General features: G+C 48.5%; 1 annotated feature.

Moving 5' to 3' along the window:
• Positions 16,749–17,712: an enhancer, noted in NCBI's record as "H3K4me1 hESC enhancer chr10:47777655-47778618 (GRCh37/hg19 assembly coordinates)". NCBI's record gives its function as "activates a minimal SCP1, AML or CMV promoter by ChIP-STARR-seq in naive H9 embryonic stem cells {active_cell/tissue: H9 hESC(naive)}" and the evidence as "EXISTENCE:reporter gene assay evidence [ECO:0000049][PMID:30033119]".

Genomic DNA, 17,712 nt, shown 5'->3' on the forward strand with positions numbered 1-17,712 from the left:
TGAAGAATTATCATTCTGGTGTGCTGCTAGATTTGGTTTGCTAGTATTTTGTGGAAGATTTTTGCATCTATGTTCATCAGGGGTACTGGCCTGCAGTTTTCTTTTTTGTTGTTGTTTCTTTGCCAGACTTTGATATCAGGATGATACTGGTTTCACAGAATGAGTTAGGGAGGAATCCCTCCTCCTTGATTTTTCTGGAATAGTTTCAGTAAGATTGGTACCAGCTCTTCTTTGTACATCTGGTAAAATCTGGCTGTGAATCCCTCTAGTCTAGGACACTTTTGGTTGGTAGATTTTTATTACTGATTCAATTTCTTAACTCATTATTGATCTGTTAGGAGTTCAAGTACTCCTAGGTCAATCTTGGGAGGCTGTGTGTTTCCAGGAATTTATTCATTTCCTCTAGGTTTTCTAGTTTGTGCACATAGAGGTGTTCATAGTAGTCTCTGAAGATCTTTGTATTTTTGTGGTATCAGTTGTAATATCATCTTTGTCATTTCTGATTGTGTTTATTCAGATCTTCTCTCTTTTTTTCTTGGTTAATTTAGCTAGCAGTTTCTCAATGGGTCTAATGGCCCAACTCTTCCTTTCATTGATCCTTCGTATGGGTTTTTTGAACTCAATTTTATTTAGTTCTGCTCTGATCTTAGTTGTTTTGTTTCTTCTGCTAGCTTAGGGTCTACTTTGTTCTTATTTTTCTAGTTCATTTAGGTGTGATACTAGATTATTAAATTGAGACCTTTCTATCTTCTTGATGAAAGGATTTAGTGCTATGAGCTTTCCTCTTAACATTTTGCTATATCCCAGAGGTTTTGGTGTGTTGTGTCTCTGTTTCCACTTGTTTCAAAGAATTTTTTGAGTTCTGACTTAATTTTGTTGTTTACCTAAAAGTTATCAAAAACAAGTTATTTCATTTCCCTGCCTTTGTGTTGTCTTGAAGATCTTTCTGGTATTAATTTCAAATTTTATAGCACCGTGGTCCAAGAAGATGCTTGATATGGTGTCATTTAAAAAATGTATTGAGACTTGCTTTATGACCTCGCATGTGATCAGGATGAGAGAATTTCATGAACAGAGAATATCTATTCTGTGCTTGTGGGTCAAGTATTCTGTAGATATTTCTTAGGTCTATTTGGTGAAGTGTCAAATTTAAGTCCAGAGTTTCTTTATTAGTTTTCTGCCTCAATGATCTGTCTAATGCTGTCAGTGGGGTGTTAAAGTCCCCCACTATTATTGTATGGATATCTATCTGTTTTCTTAGGTCTAGTAGTATTTGTTTTATAAATCTGGGTACTCTGATGTTGGGTGCATATATATTTAAATTACTTAAATCTTGTTGAATTAAATCCTTTATTATTATATAATGACCTTCTTTGTCTTTTTTTTTTACTATTGGTTTTATCTGATACAGGAATAGCAACTCCTGTTCTTCTTTGGTTTCCACTTATGTGATAGATTTTTCTCCATGTCTTTATGTTGAGCCTATGGGTGTCATTACATGTGAGGTTGGTCTCTTGAAGGCAGCAGACGGTTGGGTCTCATGTTTTTCTATCCAATTTGCCATTCTATGTCTTTTAAGTAGAACATTTAGGCCTTTTTTGTTCAAACTTAATATTGATACATTAGGTTTTGATCCTGTCATAGTGTTGTTAGCTAGCTGTTTTGTACTCTCAATTATGCAATAGCTTTATAGGGCCTGTGGGCTTTGCACTTTTGTGTTCTCTTTCTTTCTTTTTTTTTTTTTTTTGATGAAGTTTTGCTCTTGTTGCCCAGGCTGCAGTGCAATGGCACAATCTCAGCTCACCACAACCTCCGCCTCCTGGGTTCAAGCGATTCTCCTGCTTCAGCCTCCCAAGTAGCTGGGATTACAGGCATGCACCACCACACCCAGCTAGTTTTGTATTTTTAGTAGAGACAGGGTTTCTCCATGTTGGTCAGGCTGGTCTCAAACTCCCAACCTCAGGTGATCCACCCAACTCAGCCTCCCCAAGTGCTGGGATTACAGAGGTGAGCCACTGCACATGGCCTTATGTGAGCTTTTATGGTAACAAATATTATTTATTTCCATATTAAGAACTCCTTTGAGCATTTCTTGTAGGACTGGTCTAGTGGTCATGAATTTCCTTAGTACTTGCATGTCCAGAAAAGATTTTACTTCTCCTTTGTGTATGAAGCTTAGTTTGGCAGGATAAAATATTCTCGACTAATTTTTTTTTTCTTTAAGAATCCTAAAAATAGGCCCCCCAATCTTTTCTGGCCTGTAAGGTTTCTTCCGAGAACTCTGTTGTTAGGCTGATGGGATTTTCTGCATACGTGATTTTGCCCTTTTCTCTAGCTGCCTTTAAGACATTTTCTTTTGCATTGATGTTGGATAGTCTGATAACTATATGCCTTGAAGAGGCCCATCTTGTGCAGTATCTCACAGGAGTTCTCTGAATTTCTTGTGTTTGGATGCCAACTCTCTAACAAGATTAGGATTTTTTTTCTAAATTATTTTATCAAATGTGTTTTCACAATCACTTACTTTTTCTTCACCTCTTTCAGGAATGCCAATAAGTTGTAGGTTTAGTCTTTTTATACAATCCCATATTTCTCAAAGACTTTGTTGTTTTAAAAAATTCTTTTTATTTATTGTTTTCTGACTGGCTTAATTTAAAAGAATGGTCTTCCAGCTCTGAAATTCTTTCTTCTGCTTGGTCAAGTCTATTGTTAAAGCTTCCAACAGTATTTTGAAATTCCTATAGTGAGTTTTTCAATTCCAGAAGTTCTATTTCATTTTTTCTTAATATAGCTATCTTGTGTTTCATATCCTGAATTATTTTTCTGGTTTCTTTGTATTGGGTTTCAACTTTCCCTTGGATCTCATTGAGTTTTCTTAAATCCGTATTTTGAATTCTTTATCTGTCATTTTGGACATTTCAGTCTGATTAGGATTCATTTCTAGCAGCTGTGTGATCCTTTGAAGGTGCCAAAACACTCTGGCTTCTTGTACTGTCAGAATCGTGCTGATTCCCTCTCATCTGAGGGAGCCGTAGCTTCTTAAATTTGAATTTTCTGTCATTTAAATGGGACTTTTGTAAACTTATTTTTTTCTCTTGAGGGTGTGGCTGTCATGTATGTTGTATATGATTGTGTGGCTTCATCTCTGGGTGCTTTCAGGGGACCAAGGCTCTGTATAGGTTAATTGGTTGTGTATAGCTTCAGTGCAGTGGCTTTCTTAGGTGTTGCTTCTTATAGCTATGTATTGGGTGTAAGGGCAAACACAGTATCTCCTGCAGGGCTGAGGGTGTGGAAGTCTCAGGAGGCTTATTTCATGGACTGGCACTAAGCCCTTGCGGTGGCAGGTTTTTTGTTTGCTCATGCAGTTCAGGCTACTGTCCAGTAGATAGCACTTAAGAGTAAGAGCCGGCAGGCTGGCTGGTGCTGAATGGATGCATTCGCCCTGAATACACCAGGAAGAGATTATGATGGAATGCATTGAGGTCCTGAGGCAAAGAAAAGGTGGGTGCTGCAAATCCCCATCCTGAGCCGACAGGAATGCGATCCACTTTCCTACGATACCCCTGTCACAGGACCCATGACCTTCTGTTTATAAAGGCTTCATCCTTTGGTTCCCAGCCACACTGTGGCTGGGGGCTGTGGATATACCTCTCTGATGAATATCACTAAAATGGGGCCTGAAGCAGAGCCTCTTCCCCTAGTCCATGGCAGGCAACTCCATGGTCTATCCTCCATTGCCAGGATGCTGCTGCTCTGTGTAGGATGAGGGAGTTAGGCCTTTGCCTTCATGAAAGCTGGAAGCAGGCAAAGGCTCACTTTCAGTAGGGGTGGTGCCACCATGAAGAGCACTTTCCTTGAGTTCATGCTCACCATCCCTAGCAGGGACGACCACCTTTGCATCCACAACAGTGTATGGTGGGGGAGGTGGGAGATGAAACCCCTCCTAACATTTGTTCCCAGTCATCAATGATGCCCCTGCAGCAGTTGGCCCACACCCACATACTCTTTATCCTAAGAGGGGCTTTGGCAGGCTGTGTTTCCTTTCCTCTTCCTTTAGGGGCAGCCCACCCCAAGGGTTAGATCTCCAGGGAGTCCCACAACTCCCTGGGGACCAGCCATGCTAGCCAAAGTGAGAGCAGGGGGGGATCTGGTGGTACAGTGACTCAAGGGCAGAAAATTCTCAGTCAGGGTAGGAGCACCATCAATGCACACTCAGTATGGTGCCCACAATCTCAGTTTGCTTCTGAGGGCAATGTGAGCATGCCTCCACAAGCTGGCCAAGCAGTTTGCTGTCCCTGGGGAGTTCTCAAATAGCTACCAATAGTGTTTCCCTGGGTCAAAAGCGAAAAGGTGCTCTCCAAAAGTTGGGCGTTCAGTAGATTGTCACAGAGGAGAGAAGAGCAGAGAAGCACTCCCACCTACACTTTCCACAGGGCTCTGAGTTCCTTGGGGGTTGATCTCTGCGAGACTCTTGCTGCTTTCCTTTTCCATGCCTCAGCTTCTTTCTATGGGCACGATGACAGGTCCTGGCTCTTTTCCCTCTGTTTTCAGTTCAGAACTTGTCCATTTAACAGTAACTTAAGACCTTCTTCCTAAGGAGATCTGGCATCCAATGTCCCTAGTCCGCCATCTTGAAAAAAATGGATTATCTTTTCAAGTGACCAAAGACTGAAAGGGAAAGATGTTTTGGATCTGGTGTGCTGCTTAAGGGGGTTTACTCCTCAAGGTGTCACTCTTGTGTCACTTCTTCTCTTTTACATGGCTCACTAAATCCAGGAATCATGAGCACTTACGGCACTGGAAGAACAACCCTTCTTATGTGCCCACCAGGGTAAACAAGCTTCACTGCATGTTCTTCTTGGAGATTACCTGGGGGACAATCGCATGTTACAAGCCATGAACTCAATCGCATGTTACAAGCAATGAAGTCAAACACTTCTGCAAGACCTTAATTGCTTGAGGTTCCTTTTGGCAAAGAAGAAAACTTTCCCTTATCCCAGGACTCATCTTTATCCTCAAAGAAAGTTTCTCATTGGTTTTGCTCACTCATAAAGTGACTTTACATACGCCAAATGAACCAAGCTTCAGCGTTTAGCCAGTTTTTAAATAAAAAGTATTTATTTCTTAAATACTTCTTAAATATTTCTTATGCTATGAAACATTCACCTCCTCTTTTCAGAGAAGGAAACTATTTTCTTCCCTGACCAAAATTGTGGTGAGAGAAAAGGACGTACAAACTCTGAAGGGTAGTTCAACAAGCAACCTGCAACCTTAGAGAAAAGTAAAAATCACAAATCCATGAACAGCAGAATTTTTAATATATATGGATATATTCTAATATATATATTCTAATGTTGTGTGTGTGTGAAACTCCTACCTTAAAAGCAGAGCTTCAATTCTAGCTCCATCAAATGTGGAACTGGATCACTAAAATAATGTCTGAATCTCAAACCAAAATTAGAGAGATTCGAAACCCAAGAGGAGCCATGGCAGAGATTCCTGTCAGTCCTTGCAAGTTGGGCGAATGAAAAGGCATTCATCTTGGCACCAAAGCCTTGGTCGATGACATAACAGGAGGGATCAGTTGAGGCGCACTTTGAGTCCCTTCAAGGTGGCCGAACGTCAATCTAAAATAATCAAAGGGTCAAAATACAATTTAAAGAGAGTTTATTCAAGCACAAAGTGTAAGGATAGGCTGACCAGAAAGCACAGAGTCCAAAGAATGGAGGTCAGTATTCCAAAGTGTAGAAGTTTGGGATCATTCATATAGACAAATTTCAGGATGTTTAACAAAATCTTAAAAAGGTGTACTGCATACTTACAATGGTCTGATTAGTTGAGGTGGTCTTTCTTTTTGGGAAAGGTAGATTTAACATTCCACACTGAAGATGTAAATATCAAGGTATTTTGGTTACCGTCTGGTCTCAGAAACAGGACAATAAAGGAGGCAGGTAATTGATAACAAAGATCAGTGATTGGACAGAGGGATGTCTGATCTCTGGTCTCTCCTAGTCATTTATAGAACTAGAACAACGAGGAAGAGAGTTAAGCTATAATCTAAGAAGCAGAATTGCAAGCATGCTACATGACTCAGTTTCCAGAGCTTAGCGTCCCCTTTGGCATAATATATTTAGAAGATCCTAAAATTTTATTTTATTTTTTTACAAAAACAAAAAGGACCAGTCATGAGCCACGTTCTTACCACCATGAAAACTCTGGGGAAATGCTGGTGGCACCTGAAGCCCTGGAAGCAAGCTCTTTGGGCAGAATGATGAAAAGAGCTCACCAAGTGGGCCTTGTAGCTGAGATGAGCTTACAACAGCTGCAGACAGCAGGGGCTGAGATGGAGATCTGAAAGCAGAAGCTCCAGGCACCCACATCCCCAGCCCCTAGAAGACCCGACCATGTCTCAGGCACCCTCCCTCACCCCTCTGCTTTGAGGGCTCTTCTCTGCATCTACTAACTTTGCACGCCAAGGCTCAGCTGTCTTCTAAGCCTGAGCCTCAGCTCTGATCTTGCCTCTGATAAACTGCCTTCCCTGAAGCTCCGAGGGAGGGAGCACTCTGATCTCAAAGCCCCAGAGCACGAGCACTTGGCTGAGTCTCTTTCCCCAGCACTAAAGATAGACATTTTCTGTCTCTTTCTGTCTCTCTCCTCTTCTGACACAGGTTTGGGAGCTCTTTCACCTCACAGAACCATTGTCTTCCCTTCCCCAGGTCACACCAAGCTCAGAACTGAATTCAAAGCAAGAATGACCAGAATGTCTACAGGTTTGGCCCAGACTTCAGCCTGGAGGTACAACAACAGCCTCTCTCTACCTCTTCTCAGGGCTCAGGACGGCTCAAAAGCACATTCCACCTTCACCGCCACTCCTAACTACGAGCCAGCTGGGCCCAGAGCCCGGAACATACCACCAGGATGTACCAGGACAGTCTATGCCTTCCTGGAGTGGCTCAATCATGGGCAGCCTGAAGCCCCCTCTTCACACCCTAGAGACGGCATCCAGACTCCAACCTAGGCCCAAGGAGGGCCTTCCTTCCTGGTCAGTGATCTCCTCTGTTCCTTATTGGGCTGATCCAGGGAATGTGTCCAGTGCAGCCCTCACCACAGACCCTGAGGATCAGATCATCCCTCAGGCTCCTGGCTCAGTCTGGGCCAAGGATCTGACCACGGGAAGCACAGGAAGATGAGCTCCAGGCAAACCCAGGAACCAGGGCCCGAGCAGGGAAGCTCTCCAGTGGTTTGGGAGTAACCATCACCAGGTCTTGAATGCTGGTCCAAAGAGGGGCAGGGCAGTGTGAAGAGCAGGAGCCAGACCCAGTTCACATCCAGCTTTATGAATCTCATGCTTTGTAACCTGGAACAAGTAACTCAACCTCTCTGTGCTTCAGTTCCCTTCAGTAAACTGGGATAATAGTAGCATTTACTTGTATAGTTACTGGGAGGATTAAAATAGTGAAAACGTGGAAAGTTCTTAGTCTAGCAACTGGCCCACAGGAAGACTCAATACGTATTAGTCCTCATTATGTTACAAGGAGGAGGACAATCTTAACAATTTGCTTTCTCATGGTTCCAAGGTGATGACCAAGGAGGGTATCTTTACTCCCTGTTAGAACAAGTCAGGGTTGCCCACACAACCTTGTCAAACACACCCAGCAGCATTCCTGGCCTCAAGTGACCAGCAAATGAAATGAATGGGTTCCATGTCCAGACACAGTCTGGGGGGCCCATGGGCACCATTTCGATGTGCCTTGTGCAGCCCTCCTCAGCAGATGCCTGACATGGCTCTCTGAAGAGCCATGATCCCAGAGGGCAATTGTCAAGGGCAAAAGCCATGGCCTTCAGCCCACTGGGAAGGTCTCTGTGCCCCAGCTCACCCAGCCCCTGCACTGGCACCATATCTATGGCACCTGGTTGCAGCTTGGTGAATAAGGTTGCACAAAGTATCCTGACTGCCCTGAAAAGCAATGTGGTCATGAGGAAGCAATGCAGCTTAGACACTGCCTCCAGAAGGCATCAGGATCCTTCAGCTCACCTCAGCTCTGTCCCCAGAAACACACCCAGATAAGACTTCAGTCTCCTCCTGGGGGAGGGGTCCTGGCAGCCTTATGGGTTAGGGGATGGCCACTGTGGGCCACAGAGAGTTTGGAATCTGGAAATAAAACGGTATTTTTGATGTAGGAGGAGGAGAAGCCAGGGATAGTTTTAGAGGAAAAGTACAAAAGTTGGAAGGACATGTGCTGGCTGAGTACAGGTCCTGAATTGAAACATGAGGTGGGAATGGGGCCTGGGCAGGAGCTGGTGGAATGGGAAAGGAGCCCTGCTTTAGGGGGGCACACAAGGGTAAGGCAGGTGAGAGGACCATGCTCTGCTCATTGAGGGAAGGTGCCTGAGACCAGGGAATAGAGAAGAGGAAGGCAAGAACAGGCCAGAAAGCAGCCCAGGACCCATGGTGGACATCCCTTGGCCACTCGGGGCTGCAGTCAGGCCTTTCTGGGCCCTGGTGGGGATGGGATGAGGGCCGTGTGTTGCAAGGCAGTGCAGGCTGCTGGCAGGTGACTTCCTCCCCCTGGATGCTGTGTTTTGGCTTCTCTGTGCCCCACACTCTGGAGAGACACAGGCCTGGCTTCCCCAGATGCCCACTGAGGCTGCATATGAGCCTGACACTCCCAGGAGGAAGCAAGAGATCTGACCACAGACAGAGCCAGGACCAAGGAGAGGGAGGGCAGCACCAGGCAGGAACTCTGGGATCTTTTCCCCCTCAACACTGGCCACTCAAGCACGCCCTTCATCCCTGTGCTGAAGCCCCCTGCTGCTTCCTGGTTGGGCATGGGGACTGGATCCTGCAGGCAATGGGGAAGCATTTCTAAAGGGTGTGAACTGAGTAGGGTGACCTCTGAAGATGGGTAGCTGGTGTATCTGGAACCATCTATCTCCCCTTCCTCCACACTTTTTGATACTGTCTTTCCCACAAACCTCTTTTATGTTATGTAAATGGTTTGCCCTGCAGCCTGTATTGGGTAGAAAACAAGGCCCTTGCCATCAGGTTTCATCATCAGACTTATCCAGTACGTTAGTCACCTTAATGGTGTGGACAAGTTTGGAACCAGCACTGGGGGAAAAAAATTTCATATAATGCCATCCATTTAGACATATGACCCCAGAGCAAGGTAGAGCATCCCCCATCAAATCTAGTACAGGATAGATTCATCTTATAAATGCACAGAGCTGCATGCACCAGCAGCCCTGTGGTCCTAACACCTCAGGACCCACCTCAGTCCTGGGGGACCTTCCAGATTTGGGGCAACGTCAGCTATACAAGTCCTGTTTTTTGACGTGGCTTCCCATTCCAGTCTTTTTTATAGACTCTGTACTATATACTTTATTTTTTAACCAAATGATATAGTTTGGATATGTGTCCCCACACAAATCTCATGGTGAATTGGAATCTCCAGTATTGGAGGTGAGGCCTAGTAGGAGGTGATTGGATCATGGGGGTGGATTTCTCATGAATGGTTTAGTACCATCCTCTTGGCATTGTCCTCACAATTATGAGTGACTTCTCACAAGATCTGTCTGTTTAAAAGTGTATGTCACCTCGCTGTCTCTCTCTTGCTCCTGTTTGTGCCATGTGACATGCCTCCTTCCCCTTCATCTTCTGCCATGAATGGAAGCTTCCTGAAGTCTCCACAGAAGCCAGGTAGACATCAGCACCATGCTTCCTCTAAAGCCTACAGAACCATGAGTCAATTAACCTTGTTTTCTTTATAAATTACCCAGTCTCAAACATTCCTTTATGGCAATGCAAAAATGGCCTAATACACTGACAAATAGTACTGTTACATATTCATAGGATACACACAACAAAGAATGAAAGAGATTGACAAAGATCTACAGGATGTATAGGACACCATTAGGTGAACAAATATTAATATTATGAGAATTCCAGAAGAAAAGCAGAAGGGGAAAGATGAGGAAAATACATCTAGTGAAATATTATTGGAAGACTTCCCAAGTCTTAGGAGAGAGATACATCCAGGTCCAGGAAGTTCAAAGAACCCCAAACAGATTCGACTCAAACAGATCCTCTCCAAGGCACATTATTGTCAAAATGTCAATAGTAAAGACAAAGAAAGAATTCTAAAAGCAGCAAGAGAATAGTCAAGTCATATATAAGGAAATACCCAGTAGACTAACAGCAGATTTCTCAGCAGAAACCTTACAGGCCAGGAGAGAGTGGGATGATAAATTCAAAGTACTGAAAGAAAACCACTAACAGCCAAGAATATTATACCCAGCAAAGTTACTCTTTAGGAATGAAGGAGAAATAAAATCTTTCACAGACAAGCAAAAACTAGGAAATTTATCACAACTACACCTGACTTCCAAGAAATGCTCAGGGAAGTCTTGTATCTGGAAATGAACAGATAATAACCACCATGATGAAAAAATGCAAAACTATAAAACTCACTGGTATAACTTATACACAAAGGAGAAAGAGAAAGGAAAATCATTAGATAAAACAACCCAATCACAAATATAAACAATAAGAAGGGAAATAAGGAACAAAGTCCTTTGGTCTTTTTGTTTCAGGGGCACAGGAAGTCAAGGAGCCCTGGCACTCTAATTGAGCTGGTTTGCTGCTTCCTATAGCAAAGAGACAAGGGGAGACTGAGTCAGGGTCGGGGGTATGGAGCTGTGGGGGCTGAGTTTTCCTGAACTCAGCCCTGCCTGTTGAAGGCTAGAGTGCCCAATACAAGAGAGCCCACAGGGCTATGGTTAGGAAGGCCTGTCCTATTGCCTGTCCCTGACCTCAGCTGCACATCCCTGTGTTGCAGTTAGGCTTAGGGCTAGGAATGTTGGTCCACTGTTAGAGCCTGAGTTGCCTTTGCACATCCATGGGAAGCTTCCTCTCTCACCATCAATGGTCCAGGTGGGGCCCTTGGTGAGGTCACTTAGGCCTGTGTTCCCTGAGACTGGGATGAGCTCAGAAGGCCTTGAAATCTCTAGTCAACATCACAGTGAGGAATGAGCAGGACAGAGACCTTGCCTGGCCCCCTCCTCCATCCAGGAAGCCCTGCACAATGAACAGTGGCTCCTGGAGAGCTTGGAAGCCGATTTTTAACAGTCAACCCCACTCCATCTCAACCCTCTTTTTACTTTTTTTTTTCAAAAAGAAATATGTAGGGCTCTTTGTACATGTTGCCAGCAGGAGAAATGTTCATACTGAGAGGATTTGAAAGGGCACAGACCACTAGAGCACAGATAATGTATTCAAGTTTCTTAAGTTCTTAGAACATTGCTGGGGTCATCTCACTGTCCAGGCTCAATATTTCTTCATTCCTTTGAAGGCAATTCAGAAGATGGAATATTTCAACTCTGGATGTAAGCACCTGCTGTCCCCATGGTGGTCATGTAGGGGGAATACCAGAGTCCCTGGGTGATTTATACTCAGCACCTTCTTTCTCCTGGGCTGATAAATCTCAGCCTGGGGGCCACCATTTACATCGTGGGTATGAGCCAATGTGAGTAGGAGCGGGTGACTCAGAACAGGTGGCAGGTGTCACTCTGGAGCCTACTGGGGAAAGGTGTCCCAAGTGGCTCTCCCAGGGCCACCCCATCATCTAACCTGCCACAAGTGAGTTGGGCCGACCCATGGCCACTGCAGAAGTGATTGACCAGCAGATCGTATAAATCCCACCACACCAGAGGGGAGGGCTGAAGAGCTCCTCCGCTCCCCAAGAGTGGGCTGCTGGCTGGAGAAGCCTGTGGCCCTCAGAGCCTGACATTCTGCTGCCCCCAAAGCAGACAGACATTGTCCCCTGAGCCTGGGATCTGCTGCATCCTCACCCCCTGGCCGGGAGTCCAAGCCACCTCCCATCTCTGTAGATAACAACAATTGCAGACAGCCTGGACCATGTGTTTGCAGTGGAGAATGGCTTCAAGGCCCTGAGAAGCACCATTGATGCCATGAGTGGGCTGATGTGAGGGGCTGAGGCGCCTGGCTCCTATGGCCAGAGGCTCACTCTCCCTGCCCTGCTCCACCCCTCCTGTGTTCCAGCTCACATCAAAGGCCTGCACTGCAGTTAGGTCTGCGGAGCCCCCACTGTGTGTGCAGGAGGTAAGAGCTGAGGAGGCCCTGCTGAGGGCAGAAATGTCTGTGCCTACGTCTGGGGGTGAGGAAAAGGCTGTGGTTTGTGTGTGTTGCCTGTGTATGTGGTTATGTGTGTTTGTGGTGTGTGGGTGTGTGTGTACTACATGTGTGTGGTATGTGATGGGCATATGTGTGTGCATTTTCTGTGTGGTGTGGCACATGTGTAAGTAGTGTGTGTTTGTGGTGTGTAGTATGTGTGTGTTGTGATGGTGTGCATGTGCTGCGTATGATGTGTGTGTGTGGTGTGTGTGGTATGTGACATGTATGTAGTATGGGTAGCTGTCTGTATGTGTGTATAGGGGTGTGCAGTGTGTGAATTTGGTGTATTTGTTGTGTGGTGTGTGTGAGGGTTCAATGTGTGTGTGTTTTGTGTCTAGTGTGTGTTTTTCTGTGGTGTGTGGTGCATTGTGTGTGCTATTTTTGTGTAATGTGTTGTGTGTTTGTGGTCATGTGTGTGTTGGGGGTATGTGATAGGTGGTATGTGTGTAGTATGTATACATGGTTTGTAGTGTGTATGGTGGCTGTGTGCGTGTAGAGGGTCATGTGTGATGTGTGGGTGTTTTGTGTGTGGTATGTGTGTGGCATTGCATGTGTGTGTGTGTAGTGGGTGCGTGTGATAGGTAATGTGCATGTGGTATGTGTGCATAGTGTGTGGTGAGTGTGGTGCTTGTGTACATGTATAGGGCTATGTGTGATGTGTGTGTATTTGCTGTGTATGTGATATGTGGTATGTGTGGCAGTGTCACTGTGTATGTGTATCTTGTGGTGTGTTGTGTGTGGTGTATGGTATGTTCTGTGTGTATCAAGTATGTGTGTCTATGGTGTGTGAGTATGTGTATGTGCTGGGTGTGTAGTGTGTGTGGGGTGTGTGTGTGTGTGATGTGTGTGTGCTGTGTATGGTGTTGGGTGCATGCTGGGTGTGTGTGTTGTGTGGCAGAGAGGGGAATGTGTGCCCTTTGTGTGGTGCGTGTATGATGTGTGATGTGTGTGGTGTGTGTATGGGATGTGTGGTGTGTCTTTGGTATTTTTGGTGTATGTGTGTTTGCTATTTATGTGTGTGTGTGCTTTGGGTATGTGTGTGTGGTGTGATGTGTGTGGTATGGGGTGGGTTGAGTGTGTTTGTGGTGCAATCTGCATGGGTGGGGGGGTGTGGATGTGTGGCCCACATGAGTGTGAATGTGAGTGTCTATTGCTGTGGGGGGAATATGCAGCGGTGGTGGTGTGAGTACCTGTGTACAATTCTTGTGTTGTTACCTCACAACAATAAGTTTAACCCTAAAGCAAGAAAAGACATGTGTGAGAAGCTCTCAGGGAAACACCAGCAAATGGCATGGAGCAGCAGCTAACCCAGACCACAGGCCAGGAGCAGCCAGGCCTCCTCTCAGGAAGGCCAGGCAGGTGCAGGAGCTGAAATATCTGTGTAATTTACCACATCAACAAAACGAGAAACAGGAACCAGGCGGTTATCTCAGGGGATGAAGAACAAGAAGTGGGGGCGTCAGCATCCTGTGAGCAGAAGGAAACCTCCATAGCCCAACAAAGGCGTCCACACAAACACCCTCAGCTCACCTTGGCCCCACAGGATAAATCACAGCATCTGTCTCTGCTGTCTGGGACATGGTGAGGATGCCCTCTTACCATCCAGGGTCCTGGCATGGGTGGTGACAGCCCTGTGTGGTCCTCTGTGATGACCTCATCTGTCCTGACCTCTGCCTGTGTGTGCTGGGGCTCTGCTTGACCAGCATTTACACAGCTGCAGCTGCTGGAGAGGAAGGGAGCCCTGGGCATCCTCCCTCCATGGGGACAGCATAAGGCTGGGTGCCACTGGCCCCAGACCAGCAGCTGGGCTCTAGCCTCCCTGTTTCTCACTGCAGGGTGCCCTGGCAGTAGGCTGTGGGGACAGACACACCATACATGTCTGAGCTCTGCTCCCCATGGGCACACTACCAGGAGCAAATTGTCCAATGTCAGCAAGCTCCAGCAGTGCCTCCCATGAACAGAAAGGACGCTGTTAGGCCTGTCTTGAGTCCCAGGGCACTGAGCTCTGCGGGGACTGGCACAGGGCTGGGAGCTGGTAGGTCCCAGAAACAGGAGCTGCGCTGACACTTCCATGATTGGTCCTGGGCTCTGTCCTCGACCCTGCCTCTCCCCGATGCAGAGCTGAGGATGGGGGTGGAGTAGAGAGTTCCCCTCCCCGTCGGGGTCTCTTTCTGTTGCTCCTGATTTAAAGCTGCTCAGTCGTGCAGCCAGTGTGACAGCTGCGCTCCTCTGATGATGTCCCCTGGACATGCACAGGCTGTGGCGTCTGAGCAGCCCTGGCAACCCCAGGTGAGGATGTGAGTCGTCACTCCTCCCTGGAGGCAGCTGAGTCAAGGTGACAGGTGCCCTCTGCCCACCAGCTCGGCCCTCTGCCTCTGCTCACGTGGCCCGGCAGTCACAGCACTGACCTGTCAGTTGGCCGACTTGTGCAAAGCTGCCCCACATGGAGGGTGACAGTCACAGCAGGGAAAGGCCAAGGCAGAAGCTTGAACCCCAGATGCAACAGAATGAGCCCTCTCAGCAGGCTGCCACCAAGAAGCCAGGAGGGTTCTAGGGAGCCCAGGAAGGAGGCCAGGGACAGAGGCAGAATGTAACTTGGAACCACCCGTTCCATGAAGGTCCAGAGCAGCCCCTAGCCCTGCTCAGGGTAGCCGAGTTGGGCTGGCCAAGGTGTGCACCACCCAGGCTCAGATGTACCTTCCAGTGTCCAGCTGGCAAAGGCCCTTTAGAAACCTGAGCAGGGAGATGTTGAGAGTGCAGCCTGGGAGCATCACATTTGGAAGCAGCTGCTGTTGGCCTCAGCTGTGGGAGAGGACCCAATGCTTGCACTGAGGGGACCCAGGCCTGGGAGCTCAGCACAGGGCACCAAGCTGGCCTTTCCTGCTCTCTCTCTCACAGTCTCAGTGCCCCCACAAGTTTCTTCCTAAGGAAGCATCATGGCCATTGGATGGGTGACCTCAGAGGCCAAACAGGAGATACCATGAGGAGGAGCAGGCCAGGACAAGCCAGCTGAAGTCGGCAGTTGGAAGGCCTTGGAATGAAGGTGGGCCCTGCAGCTCCCCATGTGAGGAGGGTGAAGCCCCAGGCCCCAGCCAGGGGCCGACATGGAGGGACACCCACTATTCCTGCCATTCCCATTTTACAAAAAATCTAGAAATTTGCATTTTTAGAAAGAATGTTCAGGTTTGAGACAGGGTCTCACTCTGTTGCCCAGGCCAGCATGCAGTGGCACGATCATGGCTCACTGCAGCTAAATTTTAAAAATTTTCGTAGAGACAGGGCCTCATTATGTTGCCCAGGCTGGTTTTGAACTCCTGGGCTAAAGCGATCTCCCCACCTCAGCCTCCCAATGTTCTGGGATTACAGGCATGAGCCACTGTGCCTGTCAAAGTTGGGCTTTTAACTGTGGGCTCCCGTTTTTGAAAATCCTTGAAAGCCTCAGAAAGCATGTCGGCAGGCCAGCTTCACCCACAGCCCGCCTTGAAGGTGTGACACTGCAGAAAGACAAGAAGCAGGGTTCAGAGAAAGCTTTCCTTGGGTGCATAGACCAGGGGCACCCCAGGCGTCAGCAGGGATTGGAATGCACAGGGCCAGGGCCAGGAGGCGGGGTGGAGGCCAATGCCCTTGGCAGCTGCAGACCTGTGGGAACCCCAGCTGGCTCCTGGGGCCAGCCCCACCTGCCCTGTGTCCCCTGTGGTGTTTGTCTCAGGGCAGGAGCCACAGTGGTGGAAGGACACACTCCCTGAGCCTCAGAGTGGGTGCCCGGTGGTCCTTGTTGGATCAGGAAGAGCAGGAGATGGGGAATCACCTGTAGGTCTCTGGAATCGCAGCTAAAACAGGGCTTCTGTGATGGATTGCCCTGAGCAGGGTCCTAAGTGGCTCGCCTGCCGCACCCGTGTCCTGGCCCTGCCGCTGTGGGTGTCCTGCCTGCCACAGGCACACAGAAGGACAGGGAGGAGAGACCCCGAGTGTTCAGCAGCCCTGAAGAAGGCATCGAGGCCTGGGTGCTCAGCTGAGGCATGAGACATGGTATCTTCAGGCAGCCTTGTGGCTCCACTTACACCTGACATCAGGGAGGGCCTGGCTGAGTGCACAGCCTGTACCCCTGGGGCCTGAGAGAGCACCACAGATTTCAGGGCGGGAACATCACGCTAAGCCCACCCTGTGCAGGGGCCAAGTGAGACCTTTCCTGGGCTCCTTGCTTCAGGCATGGTGGGGAGAGGGCCCTTGAGTACTCAAGGTCCAGCCGCCTCCTCTTGGACCCTCAGTGACACCAGGTGAAGATTTGGCCCAGCGGACACACAGACATTGGTTGAGACACAGCCGCTTCCTCACAGCAGCCTCTGGGAATTCAGTTTGGGGGAGGACCCCCAGGAACAGGGAGGTTGGAGGGGAGGCAGCCACCCATTCTTCCTCACTCAGCCTTTGAAGGGCCCTGCCCCCACTGCCTCTCTGCATCTCCCACCACAGTCCTCCCCCATAGACTTGCTTTCTTCCCCCTCATGCCCACTTCAGTCTCTCTCTCCCAAACCCACAGCACAGGAGGCACACACCCAAGCCTCCCGTCTCCCACAGAGGGGAAGCCTCCTCCCTGCTCCCCGTCAAAGCTGCAAGAGGGGCCCAGGCCCCCTCCCGTCCTCAGTGTCCTCACCTCTCCTCTGTGCTTCGTTCCCTCTGGGCTCAGTTCCAGGCATCTGCATTGGAAGTGTCCTCACCTCCCCGCCTATCAGCTCTGCAGTGCCCTAGGGCTGTGCCACCTCCAGCACCATGGACACTTGTTCCTCCTGCCTCCCTCCAGCTTCCCAGCCTGGCCTGGAACTCAGGACTCCACCCAGTGGCTCCCCTGTCTGGGCCCACCAACTTCCCTGCGCTAAAGCCTCAGCACTCCCCGTGGCTTTGACCCTGTCTCCCTCCCCCACCGGCCAGGGCGGAGAGGGACACACAGAGAGCAGCTGCCAGCATAGGCAGGTGTTCACAGGATACACACACTTGCCCCGCCAGCCCCTGCACCCAAGGAATCCTCACAGCCACCTCCCAGGGAAGGAGGCAGGGCAGAGGGAGGGCAGGGGAGGGAGAAGATCAGGGAGGCCGAGAACTTTCGGAGCACAAGGACCTGCAGTAGCAGTGCAGCCAGGGGCCGGAGCGTTCAGGGAAACAGTCATTGAGATCAGGATGGGCACTGAGTGGTGTCCTGACCAGCCTGCCATGTGTGCTGTCAGGCTCCCAACCAAGGTCTCAGGGAGCCCCTCAGCTCCCTGGAGCTCCCTCTGGCCCAGCCCCTCAGGCCTCCCTTGGGGGCTCAAAGCAGCACTCCCCTGCCTAGTGTGAGTGTGAGCTGCAGGACGATGCTGTCCTCCATGCAGTAGGTGATGAAGGACAGCCGTGTTCTCGGGCTGGAGAGGAAGCACGTGGCCCTGAGAAGCCAGAGAAACAGCCAGGGCGGGTGACACCCATTCCCCACCTCCCACCTCAACTCTTCTGCTTTGGGGCCCCTTGCTAGATATAGGGAGGTGAGATAA

Source organism: Homo sapiens, chromosome 10, assembly GCF_000001405.40.
Source record: "Homo sapiens chromosome 10, GRCh38.p14 Primary Assembly".
Lineage (NCBI taxonomy): Eukaryota > Metazoa > Chordata > Mammalia > Primates > Hominidae > Homo > Homo sapiens.